This window comes from Homo sapiens, chromosome 3 (genome assembly GCF_000001405.40).
Source record: "Homo sapiens chromosome 3, GRCh38.p14 Primary Assembly".
Taxonomy (NCBI): Eukaryota; Metazoa; Chordata; class Mammalia; order Primates; family Hominidae; genus Homo; species Homo sapiens.
In genome coordinates this window covers 26,661,663-26,679,334 of record NC_000003.12, presented here as the reverse complement: position 1 = coordinate 26,679,334, position 17,672 = coordinate 26,661,663, and the positions used below count along the sequence as shown (strand labels likewise).

Genomic DNA, 17,672 nt, shown 5'->3' with positions numbered 1-17,672 from the left:
CCAGAAGGTTTGGATTTTATTCTAAGAATTATGAGAAGCCACTGGGATTTAATCACAGAAGTGAGATGAACTGATTTACATATTGAAAAGATCACTCTGGCTGTTGCGGTCACACCAAGACTACCTGCTATCATCTTTCTTGCAGAAGCACCCAGTTGACAGATCATCCAACCTAGAGGATTTTGTACAACTCTGTTTAAATATTTGAATAACTGAATGAATAACTGATGAATGGATGAATGAATGGTTCTAGCTGTCTAGGTTATGGCTATGCATAACAATCCTATGCTGTCTTATTCATGAGCATAGGATTTGATAATATCTTTTCTCATCAAATACATTTGTATTTGTTGTATGATAGCAGACCTGTTGTCAACAGAGCCCACCCAAATACTCCTGGAAGATCTGAGGTTAGAGGAATTCCAGTTTTCACTTTTTTTTTAAATGAGAAAGAGAAAAGGTACACATCTTTCCCATGGAAAGCACTTATGAAACAACTCATAATTCTTCTTCCCAGAAAGTCTTTATTCTCTCTTTATTCTCTAAGGCTTTTGTGCTAACCGTCAACAGAATATGAATTGGGTATTGGATAACCCCCAAAGTCATTTTTATATCTGGTTCTATGAATCTATGATTTAATATCCTCCTATTGTGGTGCTTTTCCAATCCTTCTTTCAGAGTAAGCTTTAAGAACCAGCATCATGCTTCTCATGTGGTTTTGAGGGTCCCCTGGCTCTTAGGTACAAACCTTGGGTATAGATGCTACTCAGGATGCAGAATCTGATTCTTCAGGCATCAGCACTGACCAGGAATCCTACTACTTTTTTTTTTTTCGTTTTTTGAGACAGGGTCTCAATCTGTTACCCAGGCTGAAATGCAGTGGTATGATCTTGGATCACTGTAACCTTCGCCTCCCAGGCTCAAGCTATTCTCCTACCTCAGCCTCCCGAGTAGCTGGGATTACAGGCATGTGCCACCACACCCAGCTAATTTTTGTATGTTTAGTAGAGATGGGGTTTTGTCATGTTGACCAGGCTGGTCTCAAACTCCTGGTCTCATGTGATCCACCCACCTCAGCTTCCCAAAGTGCTGGGATTACAGGCATGATCCACCGCACCCAGTGAATTCCACTACTTCTCCCATATGCTTATAAATCTCACAAGAAAGCCTCTTGGACTTTCATATGTACCTAAAACTACTGTTAAAAATACCAGTGTTGGTTGGACGTGGTGGCTCACACCTGTAAACCGAGCACTTTGGGAGGCCAAGGCAGGTTGGTCACTTGAACCCAGGAGTTTGAGACCAGCCTGGGCAACATGGCGAGATCTCGTCTCTACAAAAAAATAAAAAAGAAGAAAAATACAAAAATTAGCCAAGCATGTTGGCACATGCCTGTAGTCCCAGCTACTCGGGAACTGAGGTGGGAGGATCACTTGAGCCCAGGAGGTCAAGGCTGCAGTGAGCCATGATCGCACCACAGCACTCCAGCCTGGATGACAGAGTGAGACCCTGTCTCACAAAACAAACAAACAAACAAACAAACAAAAGGCAAAACAGAAAAAAAATGGCTATTTATCATATTGGTGATCAATTTTGACTGACAATAAGAATGTGTTATATGTATACATGTGTTTCTTTGGTTGAAAATAAGAATGTGTTATATGTATACATGTGTTTCTTTGGGATTGTGGCATTATTGTCCTAACATGCTCTAAATATTCTTCGAAGGTCTATGCCATTAGCACAGGGATGCTCCCAGTGTCCGCCAACAAGCTGGCCCACTGCCCAATCTGCTTTGACTCACATAGGCCATCCCTTCCTCACATACAAGCCTGCCAGCCCTTCCAATGTGGGCTAGAATGCTGGTGAGCAGCCTGCCCCCTGGCAGCAGTGCAAGTCGATCACAGGCAAATGAACACCTGCCTCCTGCCTGGGGTTGTGACCACTGCCAGTCACTGGCTGAACCTCCCTTAGGTTCACCCTGGTATGAAACATTATGGGAAGTACAGTTTATGGGAAGTACACCAGAATACTGGTGTTTATTTTCAGTATCAACCCTCCCCTCACATTCCCACTCTCCAGAAAAAAACATGGCTTCCTTGTATGATAAGTGCCTTATTTTTTGCATAGCCCTGTGCAGTTATCAAGGTACTTCATGCACATGATTTTCTTTGATTATTCAACATCCCTGTGAAGAAGGATGGTATGGTTTTTGTCTCCATTTTGCAAATGAGATTGATGACTCACCTTCTTGACTCATGACTGATGGAGCTAGAATAAGAATGTGTGCTCTTGACCCCTAGACTAGTGTCATTTCTATTCCACCATGACACCTTGCCCAACCCTGCTTTATATTGTGATTTTGGAAGTACTAACACCTCCATTCTACACTTCCACCCAGAGCATGTCTACAGTGAAGCCTGGAGCTCCTCCTTATAAATCACACTGCCAGATCAGTGTTCATGGATGTGCAAATTTAAAAATGAAATGACATTTGGGTTGGTTCCAAGTCTTTGCTATTGTGAATAGTGCCTCAAGAAACATACGTGTGCATGTGTCTTTATAGCAGCATGATTTACAATCCTTTGGGTATATACCCGTAATGGGATGGCTGGGTCAAATGGTATTTCTAGTTCTAGATCCCTGAGGAATCGCCACACTGACTTCCACAATGGTTGAACTAGTTTACAGTCCCACCAACCATGTAAAAGTGTTCCTATTTCTCCACATCCTCTCCAGCACCTGTTGTTTCCTGACTTTTTAATGATTGTCATTCTAACTGGTGTGAGATGGTATCTCATTGTGCTTTTGATTTGCATTTCTCTGATGGCCAGTGATTATGGTCCAACAATGATAGACTGGATTAAGAAAATGTGGCACATATACACCATGGAATACTATGCAGCCATAAAAAATGATGAGTTCATGTCCTTTGTAGGGACACGGATGAAGCTGGAAACCATCATTCTCAGCAAACTATCGCAAGGACAAAAAAACCAAACACTGCATGTTCTCACTCATAGGTGGGAATTGAACAATGAGAACACATGGACACAGGAAGGGGAACATCACACACCAGGGCCTGTTGTGGGGTGGGGGGAGGGGGAAGGGATAGCATTAGGAGATATACCTAATGCTAAATGACAAGTTAATGGGTGCAGCACACCAACATGGCACATGTATACATATGTAACAAACCTGCACGTTGTGCACATGTACCCTAAAACTTTAAGTATTAATAATAATTAAAAAAAAAGAAAAAACAGGCCCAAATTGAAGGCTATTCTTTGAAGTAACTGGCCAACACTCTTCAAAAACGTTAATGTCATGAAAATAAAGATTGGGAAACCATTAAAAAAAAAAAGAAAGGGGCTTTATAACTATAAAAAAAATGAAATGAATGAAGGATGATGTCAGATTCCCACATTTTATTTTACCAACTACCACCATTATTTAATAAAAAAATTGTATGTTTCATCATAAAGAATAAGAAGGTAAACATTCTAGAATAAGGGCTAGTTTTTCCCAAGAAACAACAATTAAGGCGTTTCATATCAACCTATTTTTAAAAACACTGTATATTTTCAAATTTAAAACAATTTTCCTTTAACTACGCTGTAATTATTTAATTGATACCTGTTTGCCAACCTGAGTATATATTCAAATATATGCATATATATTCAACAATGCCAGAAGAAAAACAGTTGGTTATTCCAATTAACTTATTTTTTAATCAATACCTTTGTCAGACTTCCAGTTTCACATGCTGTTTGGCAAAAAAGGAAAAAACACTCAGTGAGGCTTCTTCACACAGCTTGGAATATTCTGGGCAAACTGAAAGAAGTTGAGAATTAACTGTTTCCATGCCACCAACCGCTTTTCCTACATTCTCACTCTCTGGAGCACCAGGAAGACAGTGGGTAGTTGGCACAGTGTGTGTCTGGCTGAAGGTAGCAAGTACTCCAGGAAGGGGCATGTGGCACCTAGAGCTCATGGCATAGGCCTGACTCACAACCTCAACCTTGTCAGTGGCGAATTCATCTGATTGGGGTATCAAAGAGACATGCAGACTTGATTTTAAGAATCATTGGCTTTGTTTATATGCTGTACCTGAATGTATCCATTTTATTTTACGAAAATGACAAAAGCTCCTACCTGTATCTACCTGCTTATATAGGTATCTACTTATATGCAATAGAATCAGGCGGGCAGAACCACACCGGGAAGACATACTACTAAAGTACACGGAAAACAAAGATCAAAGAAAGACTAGAACATGTTGAGAGGAGGATTTCTTGTTCTTTCTGCCTGTGATACCCCAGGGTGTTTCCAATTATTTCAAGTCATGTCACGGAATATCAACAAAATAGCCCAACATAAAACTACTTGGAATCCTTTTTAAATTACATTTAAGCCCATGCTATTTGGGAAATCTTCAGGAAAAACCATAGACAGGCCCTGGTCTACACTGACACCCAGGTATTAGGCCGGGCAACCTCACTGAGAAGGAAAACATGGGAGAAGAAGTAGAGAGAAGGTTGTAGGTTGGAGCAAATTAGGAGAGAGCAAGGATGAGTTCATTTTTAGAAATGCCCAATCTGAGATGTTTGTGGGGCTTCCCGGTTGTGATGTCTAGTGGGTACTTATAAGTTGATTTAGTCATCTAAAATATTCATTATATATATTTACCATCAAACCCTGTGTTTGGTGCTAGGCATAAGACAGAATATAGGCCCTGCTTCCATGAATAACCTAGATTTTAACATCAGGAATTGAATAGATAGAATGTTTTTATTCTTTGAGAAAACTTGTTTTGAAATATATAATTTATTTAGAAATTTTAAAAAGCAACCTTCTTTCCTTTTTATAAGAACACAAGAATAGAAGCCAAGTACTAAGTCATTTGCATAATACCAATATTTTACTTTATTTTGATCTGGCTAAATTAGTCAAAAGCTTAAACTTTTTTTTAGTCCATTTAGTTTCATGTTAATGTTTTTACATTCATAAGTAAATGTTTTGCTTCTGTCCTATGACAGCACGACAAAAAATATTTAACAAATATTCATAATTAACCTGTTGAATTGGAGATGGTGCAACCTCCCACAGACTTCAGAAGGATCTTCTCCATTGATTGATTAACTTTTGGAGGTGATGAAAGTCATCATATTTCTGATAGTACAGCATCAGTAATCCAAAAACTAACTCAACATAAACCTCTCCTCACCTATAAAATGCAGAGTATGCTTGTTTCAAAAATTCAAGTGATTTAAATGATTTATATTAAATCACAAAGTTGACTTAGTTCAAAAGCTCATCATTGACAAGCCTATGTGTTTCTTTATTATGTATTTATTATTTGTTATTTACAATCTACACTAGGTCAGGAGATGAAATTGGGCCTCCTGCAGTCTGGCTGGCTTTCCAATGTGGTCCACAAACCAGGGACCAATTTCAAGAAGAACCTCAAAAGAGTGGACAGGGTGAGTGTCATTCACCAATTAATGCACTACATTAAGAAAACTCTCCTAGAGCTGACTGATTTTGTGCAGACTTCCTGTTTCAGTGGAGGAGGCTGTTCTTCAGCAGGTGGAGGTAAGGATGGAGATAATATGAGGGGGATCTCACAGGGCATATGACACAGTAAGAAGGCAGAGCAGCTTAGAGACCTAAGCCAAGAAGCAAGATGGAGGGCACTGCTTCCACTTCATGCTATGTCAGGCTACTGTAACCACTGGAATATTCTCTTCTCTTTTATAGGCAAAGAAGACGTATAAAACAGGCAAGCACCAGAAAGTATTTGTGTCCACCATACCTTATTGCACTGCATAATTTTCTAAGACTGCTTCTCAAAACCTCCCCAAGCAGTTGAACAAAACTTAACATGAAATGAATACATTTTCATTGTTCTGTAGCTCAACCTTGGTGCTATTTTTTTCTCCCCATCTACCTATCTCCCAATACCCTCTTCAGCATTGTTGGGTTTTCATCTCACACAAAGTGTATCTAAAGGCACAGCATTATAATCAGTATTGTTGTTTGAAATGAAAACCTTAAGATAAGAGAAATAAAAGACTGTATGAATTCAGTTTTCAATACTGCATGTTCTGATTTTTTTTAAAGAATGACTTCTAGAAAAAAAATAAAAGCAACCTATGACCACTTTGATTTTTCTTGATTTTATATTTATGCAGAAAACAATTGCTTGCCACTGCAGCAGACCTTTGTTTTATTTAAGAGTAACTTCTAAGATTTATTTCATGTGGCAACACTGACATACAGAGGCTAGAAATTTGATTCTCAGGTGCTATGAGACTGGACTAGTGGAGTAAAATTTTTGGACAATAAATAAACCTACTTCGCCAACCAGAACCCTCATTTCACATTTTGAAGGAGAAGTGCTGTTCTCTCAAAGTCATTCTGTACAGCTGATCTGGTGGAATGTTAAAAATATTATTGCTCAAAAAAGTGGCTCTTAAACAAAGCGTACTATGGAGTTGTTTCTGAATTAAGATGTTCCATAAAGACTTGGATATACTCTATTAGAAATGTATTTCAAAGACATGAAAATGGGGCAAAAAAGGAAAAGATGAAATATACTGAATCCAAAAATCTTAAGCAGCTACATAGCATAGCCACTCTAATTGGAGCAATAGAGTTGGGGCTGAGATTACATTTGCTAATAGAAACTGGATAATAAATTTGAGATTTTACGTTTAACAATAAAAATGGTTATTACCCTTAGGCTGACTAGGTTGGAGGCTGGGAGCAGAAACTGAGTATAAACTGCCAGTTCAGGAACAGGATGATAGAATTAACCTTCTGTTTCAAAAGGAAAGTGGTCTTCCCAGTGTCTTCTCAGGCCCTCAAGTGAAGGGCCACTTGTTTTGGATTATTTACAATTAACATGAAATTATGAGGAGATATTTTCATATCTCTGCATCAAAACCAAGTCTTACTAAGCCATTAAGAACTGAGCTACCAACTGAGGAATAAAAATAAGAAATCAGGCTGGCAAAAGTGTATGGCCTATTGCAACCTATTAATCACTACCCTTCTCCTGTAAAAAAAGTACTGACTGTGATTTCTAGGATATTATATTAACTAGAGGCTGTGGCACTTTTTTTTCTTAATATCTTCTGCTTTGCCTTTTGAAAAAATCAAAACTATTTTCTTCAAAATGCACTCTGTTAATTAAAACATAAAACAAAATGATAAATGAACACCTCAGTTACTGAGCAACAACTTCTTTAAATGGTTAAAGCCTGGAGCTGGGGTGTTGAGGTGCAGAGAACACGTTATTGAAACGTCTTTAAAATGTATTTAAAATGAGTTTAACAATGAGTCATTGTTACTTTACTAGAGTTTCCATTTTCAACCGCCTAAATAGATCTTGTGTTCAAAAGCGACAACATTTTAATTCTTGGCATTTCTGGGAGTGTTCTGTCAAGGAAGGATGGCAACCTCAAGTTTGCAAATGTAAGAGAAAGAATTCTAGGACAGATATCTAAAGGCCCAAAGTGTGGTTCTGGTTAAATTAATTTGCTTCAAATCCTGAGTATGCTTCACATACTAAGCCTCATTTTCTTCATTTGCAGAAAAGAGCTAGTGTTGATCACTCCATGTATAAAATTATTTTTATGGCCAGGTGCGGTGGCTCGCACCTGTAATCCCAGCACTTTGGGAGGCCAAGGCGGGCGGACCATGAGATCAAGAGATGGAGACCGTCCTGGCCAACATGACGAAACCCCGTCTCTACTAAAAAATACAAAAAAATTAGCTGGGCTTGGTGGCGCGCGCCTGTAGTCCCAGCTACTTGGGAGGCTGAGGCAGGAGAATTGCTTGAAACTGGGAGGCAGAGGTTGCAGTGAGCTGAGATCATGCCACTGCACTCCAGCCTGGCGACAGAGCAAGACTTCGTCTCTCTCTCTCTCTCTCTCTCTCTCTCTCTCTCTCTCTCTATATATATATATATATATATATACACACATATATACACACACATTTATAAGATACATGAGGCCGGGCGCGGTGGCTCACGCCTGTAATCCCAGCACTTTGGGAGGCCGAGGCGGGCGGATCACGAGGTCAGGAGATCGAGACCATCCCGGCTAAAACGGTGAAACCCCGTCTCTACTAAAAATACAAAAAATTAGCCGGGCGTAGTGGCGGGCGCCTGTAGTCCCAGCTACTTGGGAGGCTGAGGCAGGAGAATGGCGTGAACCCGGGAGGCGGAGCTTGCAGTGAGCCGAGATCCCGCCACTGCACTCCAGCCTGGGCGACAGAGCGAGACTCCGTCTCAAAAAAAAAAAAAAAAAAAAAAGATACATGAGAAGGTAGACTGTGCCCACCTCTCCCAATACTGAGTATAGTATTATGCAAATGCCATAGCATGCTATGAACACACATTAAATAAAAGAACTAAAGCACCAGAATTCTCCTTGATAGTTCTTTGTATATGATAATAAAACCATTAATAGTTATTGAGCTTTTATTATGTCCCCAATACCAGATTGAACTTTTCATGTAGATTATTGCTTTCCATTTTCCTAATCTATTGAAGTAGTAGCTATAATTATCTCTATATTATACTTGGGGAAATTGAGACACACAGAGGTTAAGGAACTTGTTCAAGGTCACACAGTTAACTAGTAAAATGAGATTCATATGTGGACTCACTACTTCTTTCCACAATAATGAAACAAATGTTTCTTTGCCTCCAGCTTAATAAAACCCTTGATGTAGTAATAATTACTGACATTTTTATAGAGCATGTGGTATTTCATGGGATTCCCAAACAACCTAGTAATATCCTTAGCTCCATTTTGTAGATTAAAAAACCCGGTGCTCAGAAAGAAGAAATAATTTCCCCGAAGATATAAGTGGTAGAATGAACAAGAAATGAAGCCCTCGGAATCATAACACAATGAACATTTCACTGTATAATCTATTATGATCTTCTAGCATGCAATGGGGTAAGAAGAAGGGATTAGGACACAAAACTAAATCCCTTCAGTTATTTTTGGAAACATACTACTAATGTGTCTGTCTGTATTCTAGGAGACTGCTTCATCTCTCTCTCATTTCTGCAAGGCAAAGTGAGGAAATGACTTCTCTTTGAAACTGAGCATCTACCAAGAAATGCACATCCTTTCCTAAATCACCCTCATTTCTTCTGTGATGAAAGAAGTAGATTAATTAACAGCACACACAGGATAAAAATGAGTGAGACAAAAGAAAAAAAGTGATTAGCATGGAGCTCTAAACTGATAATAGACCCAGTCAGGTCCAGAAAACATCAGGAATATTAATACCAATAAGTTGAAAAAGCAGAGCAAGGTGGAGGAAGGGGAAGTAGCATATTATCAAGCTCAAGAAAATGTGATGAACATTGGAATGTAATGGTGTGGATAAGGAGGACTCTCACCTGGGAGCCAGTCCCCATCCTCAAGGAAGCAAACTGAACCTAATTGAACTGAACCAAACCAAAGCAACATAAACTAAAATAAAATAATCAGCCTGTGAGGGGTATCTGTTAGCACATGCCACTTATGGAAATCCAAAAAAATCATCTTTCACCGGCAACCATATGACATTAAGTAAGATTCAACTTTGGGGAAAGAAAATAAATGAAGTATAAAATAGCTTTTTCTTTAAATGGCAAATAGGAAACCTCTTTTATTTTCCAATTTATTGGTTTGCTCTCTTCAAATAAGACAGATTTTACTAACAGAGTAAATCTTAAAGAATAAAAATCAAGCAATTAGTGAAAATTGGAGTTCAGCTACATGATTCTTGGGGTTATCATGGGGTTAAAAAGGTAATATTCATCTCCTTATTTCACAAATACTTGTAAATTTAGACAATATTTTTGCTTGAAGAATTAAATCTTTCATTTACTGGATCTAGTAAAACTAGTTGAGATTTGTTAATCCAATTATGGAAGAAGGCCCATCCAACAATGCAATCAGTTCACTCCATCGTAATGAAAGGAATGAAAAAACTGAAGGAGAAGGAATTGTTCTAGAAGCACACACCTGGCATGAGCTCAGAAATGGCACAGTGGAAACAGCAATAGCTCTGCACGACACTCATCTTCCCATCGAATTTTTGCTTTCACCTTCACAAACACAAGAATACATTGGAACATCCACAAAATAGTTGAGCTCCTTAATGTTCACTGACTGAAAAAAATAACTAATGACAGCAAGCTATTCTAAATTCAGTAGGACTTTTGGATGAATTTGCATTTATTAATCTTAATGAATAGCATCTTTGCATGTTTACCTAGTGGTTGAACATGTGTACATGACATATTAATTTGTTCAGTCTATAGACAATGCTTGATAAGTATGTGGATTTGAGGACCCTTGTAAGCAATCCATAGCTCCCCAGAGTTCTTCAGCTGCCAAATAGGAACTACTGAACCCTTTCTCTCTACTAAATACTCATAATATAAAAATAGACTTATAGAAGGCATTCCAGCATGATATTCAGCAAAATTTGCAGTCTATATGCATTGAAAAGGAGCCAGAGGATCATACACTGAAATGGTAACTGTTCATTGCTGGCTAAAATGGTTTAGGGAGCTTTATTTGCTTTTCTGTATTTTCCAAACTTTTAACAATAATTATTTATCCCTTTTGTAGTAAAAATAAACAACAAAAAAGCAAAGCAAAAAAGTTAACAAAAGGTCTCAATGCTGCCACATTAAAAAGGCTTTAGCAGTCCTTTGTAAACTTAAAAACCCAGATTCTTGGAAAATGCCCCTAATAGTCGATTCTCCTTGTTCCTGGGGGACCTATTCCTTCACAGTGATGTAGAAAACTATGGAAACCTAAATGTGCATTCCACAAAAACTAAGTTTCTGGCCAGAGCAAGCATATTTCCATTGCAAAATTTATCCTATCACACTCCTTGAAGTCCTTCAATGGATCCCCCATTGTCCCATTGGGCAATTTCATGGCCCCCAAATCTTTCTGATCCTGCACCACTAAGCTCTCTAATGTCATGATCAATCACTCCCTTAAGTAACCAGCTCTGGCTCTGTTAACGGCCCCTCATAGCTTTCTTGCTTGCTACTCCTTGGAAAAGTCTAGTCATTTCTCAGAGCACATCCCATGAAACAAAGGCTCTCTGATTGTTTCAACAGGGCTCGTTAATGCAGGGAAAAAAGAAAACTAACCTACTCTGTATTCCCCGTGTAGATTACAAAGAGAGCAAACTCATACTTTTTTTATAATAATATCTAACTGCAACCCAGAAATGCCCCATCATGTACTCTGAAAATTATATGTCCAAAACATTACTTATGCAAAAATTAATGGCAGGTTCAAAACAATGTTGAGTAAAAAATTCAATACTGATGGTGCATTAAAAACTTAAAGTATAATAATAATAAAATAAAAAAATAAAATAAAATAAAGTTTGTTTTATGTAAAAAAAAATTGGTAATCCAATGATCTGTATTTATATGTTCAGGGTTGGTATTTGCCTCCCAATGCCCGGGCTCATCCTCTTCTTTGACAAGAGACACCCTGTTTTTGCCAGGCACAACACTGCCTACAATGAAGATTATATTTCTCAGTCTGTTCTTTTAGTAAGTTCCCATGTGACCATGTTTTGTCCAATGAGATATAAAAAGAAAATATTATATGATATTTCCAGAAAATCTTTTTTAAAGAGACAAGGCACACCCTCCTTTTGCTCTATCCAATTCCATGGAATGTGGATGTGATGACAGGAGCTTCACCAGCCCTTCCAGGTCAGAAGACTGGGTGGGGGCCATACTTTAGGGATGGTAGAACAGTGAGCTGGAAGGAGCCTAAGTCCCTGAATAGTTTCAGTAGCTCCCTTTCTAGCTCTGGACTGCCTACTCTAAATTGTTGCTAGGTGAGAAAAGAATAAACTGTTACTTTCTTTAAGTCTCTGTAAATGCAGGCCAATTTTTTTTCAGGTCTCTCTCTGTATTTGCAGCCAAAGCTAGTCTTAAAGGAGGTATGGAGCTTTGCATGACAACCCAGACATTTTAACAGAATATAGAATGAGAACCCTTAACAAACTTAATAATGCACTAAGTCCAGTTAGTGGACATCAAGTGTTAGTGATTTTCAAAATTCACTTAGAAGGCTAGCATCCTCATCAAATCTCCCAGGGGCTGAAAGGCCATGGGATTGGGTATACCAGTCTCAACTGAGGCTTTTTTTTTTTTTTTTCTTGAAAGTGAGACTTTACTAATAATGGTTTAAAAAAAAATCACAGAGGGACATTTTACTAGAATTCAAGGAGCCCAGACATCACTAAAAAATAGTTAATTCTTAGTTATAACTGTTGTTGCTGGCAAAAGTTGTTAGTTGTTAGTAATACCGCTCTTTTTAGTTAAAATCCCTACATTTGATGAAAGTGTTGTAGTTGACACATTTCTATTAGAACCAACAATTTCTATTCTACAAAATACCTGACTCTTCACAACTGTCAAGGTCATGAAAAGCAAGGAAATATTGAGAAACTGTCACAGACCAGAGGAGAAAAGGGTGGTATGACAACTAAATGTAATGTGGATCCTGGAAAAGAAAAGCACATTAGTGGGAAAACTGGTGACATCCAAATATTGTTTGGAGTTTGATTGATAGTGATGTAACCCATATTGGAGTCTTAATTGTGGCAAATGTACCAGAATAATATGTGAACAACAGGGGAAACTTGGTGGGGTTATATAGGAACTCCCTGTTCTATATTTACAACTTTTCTGTACAACTAAAACTATTCTAAATTTCTAATTTCATTTAAAAATAGCAGTATCTATTGCCAAGCAGTTGGCAGGATTGGTTGAGATAATAGGTACAAAGCCCTGAGCTTGTAGTAGAGATCTAATAAATATTATTACCCTCCCTTCCATGAAGACCCTTAAAATCCCCCCAATCTTTAACATTTTCTATTATCAGATAAATTCTTTCACATGTACTTCTTCTGTCTTGGTATGGCTGAAAAAAATAATTGTCTTATAATAAACTTTCATAAATTTGAAGGCAGCCATGTATTTTCCTTTCCTTTTCTTCTCCACTATTAATAATCTATTTGTCTTCACCTTTTCCTTGCGGTTACTCTGCTTTCTTCTTTGACGTCTTTTTTCTCTGTAGTCTTTCTAAATTCATTTGACTAAATTTAGGATCCAGATCATACTCAGTACTCTTGCAAAGGCATCCCACGATAAACTTATGGACATAAATCCTCTTTTCTCCATGGTTCTCTCTCCTTCACTCTTTCCCTTGGTTTTACACAGAACACATTCTCAATGTTTCTGTTAAATTGATTTGAATTAATGAAGATGGGATATAGTCAAAGGACTATTTCATAATCCTTGAATGATTTATTATCTTTGCAAACATTTGAGCATGATGTCAGATGTAATTACAACATTAAACTTTTAGCTCTCTTATATTTATTTCAAAGAACCCAGTTAGACAGATTTTCCAGGACATGAGCTACTCTGGTGAACATCACATGCCTTTGGGACTTCCATGAACTCTTACAAAGAACCAAGATGAATACAGTGAAGAAAACTTTCTTTTAGCTTAAAAAAGTATACCTAAGATTTGACTGGAATTTCAACAATTACCAAAAGGTTTCTCACTGGTTTTCAAATAATGCCTGGTAAATCAAGAAGATAATTTATTTTTCCAGGTCTTTTCTTGGTTATTTAGCCAAACTTAGTGTCAGTTTATTTACTTTTCACACTATGTTTTTATAGCTTGTTGCCTCAACTCTCTTTTCTATACTTGTCAATACCGAACTCCATGCTTTTCAGATTAGATGGCAATATTTTGAAGTTGTTTTGGTAGATTACAATAGAAGAAAACACAAACGGAAGTAAGCTGGGAAGAAAAACACATCAACGAGACAAAGCAATGGTGCCTCCAGAAAGTATTTATAGCAGAACACAATAAGAAGGACAAGAAGAAAACAAAGACGATAGGAAGAAGTAGTTTAGTAAATGTGATTTTTCAATCAAGCAAAGTGAAGTTTGATTTAGAAGTTAAATCCTGAGATAAGCCAGTCTTTCAAACTGGGATCTGGCCTTGAATTAGAAATGAGGCCACAGAACTCTGCTCTGGGTAGTTCAGATCCTCCTGGGCATTTAGTCAGGGCCCAGTCTTCAGAAGGAGATGCTGTGGATGCTCTGCCCACATTCCCTTAGATTTCTTAATAATCTCCAAATACAGCAGATTCTGTAGTGCTGCTTTCACTCCCAAAAGCCTGACCGTACCTTTATGGTAGGATGGCCCTTAGGCTGCTGCAGCCCATTTTGCTTAAACTGGTACAGACCAGCAGCATCCATATCACCTAGGAACATGCTGAAAATGTAAATTCTTGTACCCTATCCCAGACCTACTAGATCAGAAACTATAGAAGAGGGGCCCATCAAACTACATTTTATTAAGCCTTCTAGTAATTCTGATACATGCTCAATTTTCAGACCCACTGACACGTGGGGAGTCAAGTGACTGGGAGTTTACATTTTGAGGGAAAGCATCCCTTAACCAATGCTGATAGATGCGAGAGCTGCCTCACCCCTTGTGGGAACAAATCGGAGGCGAGACCTAAACTGTCTCCTAGAACTCCACCACAGAACTGACCCAAAATTATTCTCTGTGGGTCTCTCTCGATAGCACAGCCTTTCTTGGCCTTCTCTTTACTTCCCCACCACCCAACCAGTGTTTCACAGGACCACTTCCTAATAATTCAATTTCATAGGACTCTTCAGCATAGGATCTGCTTCTAGGGAACTAAACCAAAAATACCTTCTTTCATGAAAACCTCAACTTTATTGTTTACAGTCTGGTGATCTGGCATCACATTAGCAATAATCCTAGACTCCACACATGGCACTAGAGGCTGGGGATAACCAGATAAATAGGACTTTCTCTGCCCCTAGAAAACTAGGGGTAGTAGCAGTAGTCGTGGGGGTGGGGGGACAGACACCTGAAAGGATATTGTGTATATAGCAATACTCAAATTCTCAACAGTGTAGGAAAAAATGTTACCCAAAACTCCTGGAAGAAGCAATGGGCCAAGCTCACTCCTGAATGTGGATGAAGACTTGTCAGGGTATGAAAAGTGAATGAAGTATTCCAGCAAAACTCATGGACCAAAACATGGGAATAAGAGACAGAGAAGAACCATGCATAGTTTGGTGTTCATGTGGTGTCTAGTTCAAATTGGAGAGGGGCAGATGATAAAGTGAAAAAATTGGGAAGTTCCAAAGCATAGGAAGACTTCTATGTCCTTCTAAGTAGTGTGGGCTTTATTTGGTGGGTGACAGGTATGTGCTGGTAGGTTTTAAGCATGAAAGTACATGTTCAAATGTGTTCATAGAAAAATCCTCTGATTGAATTAAAAAGGGGCAATTTTATCGGCAGGAAGACCAACTCAAAGGCTATAGTAGAAATCCAAGCAAGACATGGCAAGGTTCTGAACTGGAGGAGAATATGGAACCCAGGAAATATGTAGGAGCCCAAACTGGCAAGATGGTAACTGAATAAATGTAGTATTGATTGACAGGGAGGAATAAGGCAAGGACAAATCCAGATTTCTGGCTTGAGTGATACAATTAACTTAGTCATAACCATTTCCATGTTGCCAGTTCAGAGTAAGGACTAAAACAGCCACACTGAGAATCGCCCCCTTACCTTGGGAAAGCTAGATACAATTAATATTCCAAATCAACACAGTCAATGGAAAGCTTTATCAGTGCTGAAAAATGCAAGGCACCTCTGACTAGTACTGATATAGAATTGCCTAATCAACAAAAACACCAGGTACAATTAATAAATATGCCCTTTCAGTTAAATACAATTTAGGCATGATTACATTAAATGGAGAGTTTATAGAATTTTTCAGTATTTCTTTAGTAATTAACAAAATTCTCTTAAAAGAATTAAACACAGAGATATGCAAAAGTTTACTAGAAGAGCAAATAGTAAAATAAAGATGCATGTGTGTATTGGGGTGGGGGGAATGAAAAACATGATTAATGTGAGCTTTCAACAGAGTAAGCTGCAAAACGAATTCCCCAAATCACTATATGAACAAAAGCAAACACAATACCTAACTCTGGCACAAAAATATTGCCAGAGACAGAACTCAATCAAGCTAAAAGCTGGCTACAAAAAAAGGAGAAACCTATGGAAATGCTTTGGAAGAAGTTTTTACTAGAATCGTGCATGAGAGGGCCTAAAGCCCAACTCAGTCTAGCCCTAGCCTCTAGAATCTGATGCACTGGGAATCAACATGAAAGAGTGGCAGATCTGGCACAGCAACTTGGTTTCCCTTCTGCCCAAAGGTTCAATCTCTTGATTCCCAGAAGGCACCTCCTGAGTAACACAGCTGCAAACCCTCATATCCCTCCTTCCTCATCCTCCATTTGACTTCAAATCCTCATGACATAAAAGAATTAGCAACAGGAAAATAAACAAACCAATTTCAGGCCTTCCTAAAAATAATGATAATGTCTATTGGCCTTATCATCCCACCACTAACCCGAGAAAAGACTGTTCACTAAAGAAGTGGGCTGAGTTGGTGGCAAGGTGACAAGAAGAAGCAGTGGTAGGACTCAAGAGACATTCCTACCACCAAAGTAGCCACACTCTCTTCAAGAAATTTTGTTACATACTCAAATCCCAGCTTGAATAAAACAAGGGTAATGTTAAAACTCACTCATACACACATCCCACATACATGCCTGTTTATCTGTCTGTCTGTCTATCTATCTATCTATCAATGACTTAGACAGCAACCAATCAGAATGGACAATGTTGTAGTTTTAGCGGTAGAGAGATTTCAGAGGAGGGGCTGGGGCTGCCAGGGTATAGCAGGAGTAGGAGGAAGTTAAAGGGTGAATGGGGGCACTTTAAGGGAACAGAGTGGCAGAAAATTTTAATCCGGAGTAATACATTTCAATATTTCAACAACTGTATATTCATACTCATGCATATCAGATGAATATCAGTCCTAGCAAACAAGAATATTTTTCTTGCATTAAACTGTCCAAATCTCAGAATGTGGAGCACAAGTTGGGCATGGCAGAGAGTCTAAGAACAGTAAATAAATTTAATTGACTATAATGGTCTAGGAAAAAATAAGATAGGACAAGTTAGCATTAATAGCCAGAAAAAATGACTCAATTATCAAACTCAAGAGGAGTAAAGGAGGACTTTCATTAAAAGATAGGAAATGCATATTTCTTTAATGGTATGACTGGTTTTTGGAACAGAGAAGTAAATGCTGGGGTGATATGTTAAGGACAACAAGATTTCTCAGAGGAGCCCCAGAACACTCAGGGGATTACTAGTTTTTGAGGAGTCACAGAGGTCAGAACCTGTAACTCTGAGAAAACATCTCTTTATTCTGGGCCTTTCTGCAATTCCTGACCACCAGTCTTTAAAAGGCACAGAAGTGTCAGAGACCAACTTTGGGTGTTGATCCTGAGCTGGTAGAATCTAAAGAAATACAGAAAAGCAGTGTAGGAAATTAATGGAAACTGCATCAACCAAGTTCTAACTGTAATGATTTTTATAAATTTGTCATATTCAAGAGAGTGTGGCCACTACTATAAACACTGCAGCATTAGCAATCACAAAGATGTTCATGGCAGCATTGTTTATAACAGGAAA

General features: G+C 38.4%; 1 protein-coding gene and 1 long non-coding RNA gene across 7 annotated transcripts in view; one reads left to right on the top strand and one right to left on the bottom strand.

Annotated features, from left to right (window-relative positions):
• The window catches only part of LRRC3B (leucine rich repeat containing 3B), an 88,005-nt gene that overhangs the window by 31,442 nt on the left and 38,891 nt on the right, over positions 1-17,672 (bottom strand). The window lies entirely within an intron of this gene.
• Positions 5,307-6,162, top strand: LOC124909488 (uncharacterized). The gene is made up of 2 exons (XR_007096251.1): positions 5,307-5,483; positions 5,761-6,162. It is a non-coding gene; the product is annotated as an uncharacterized LOC124909488 (long non-coding RNA).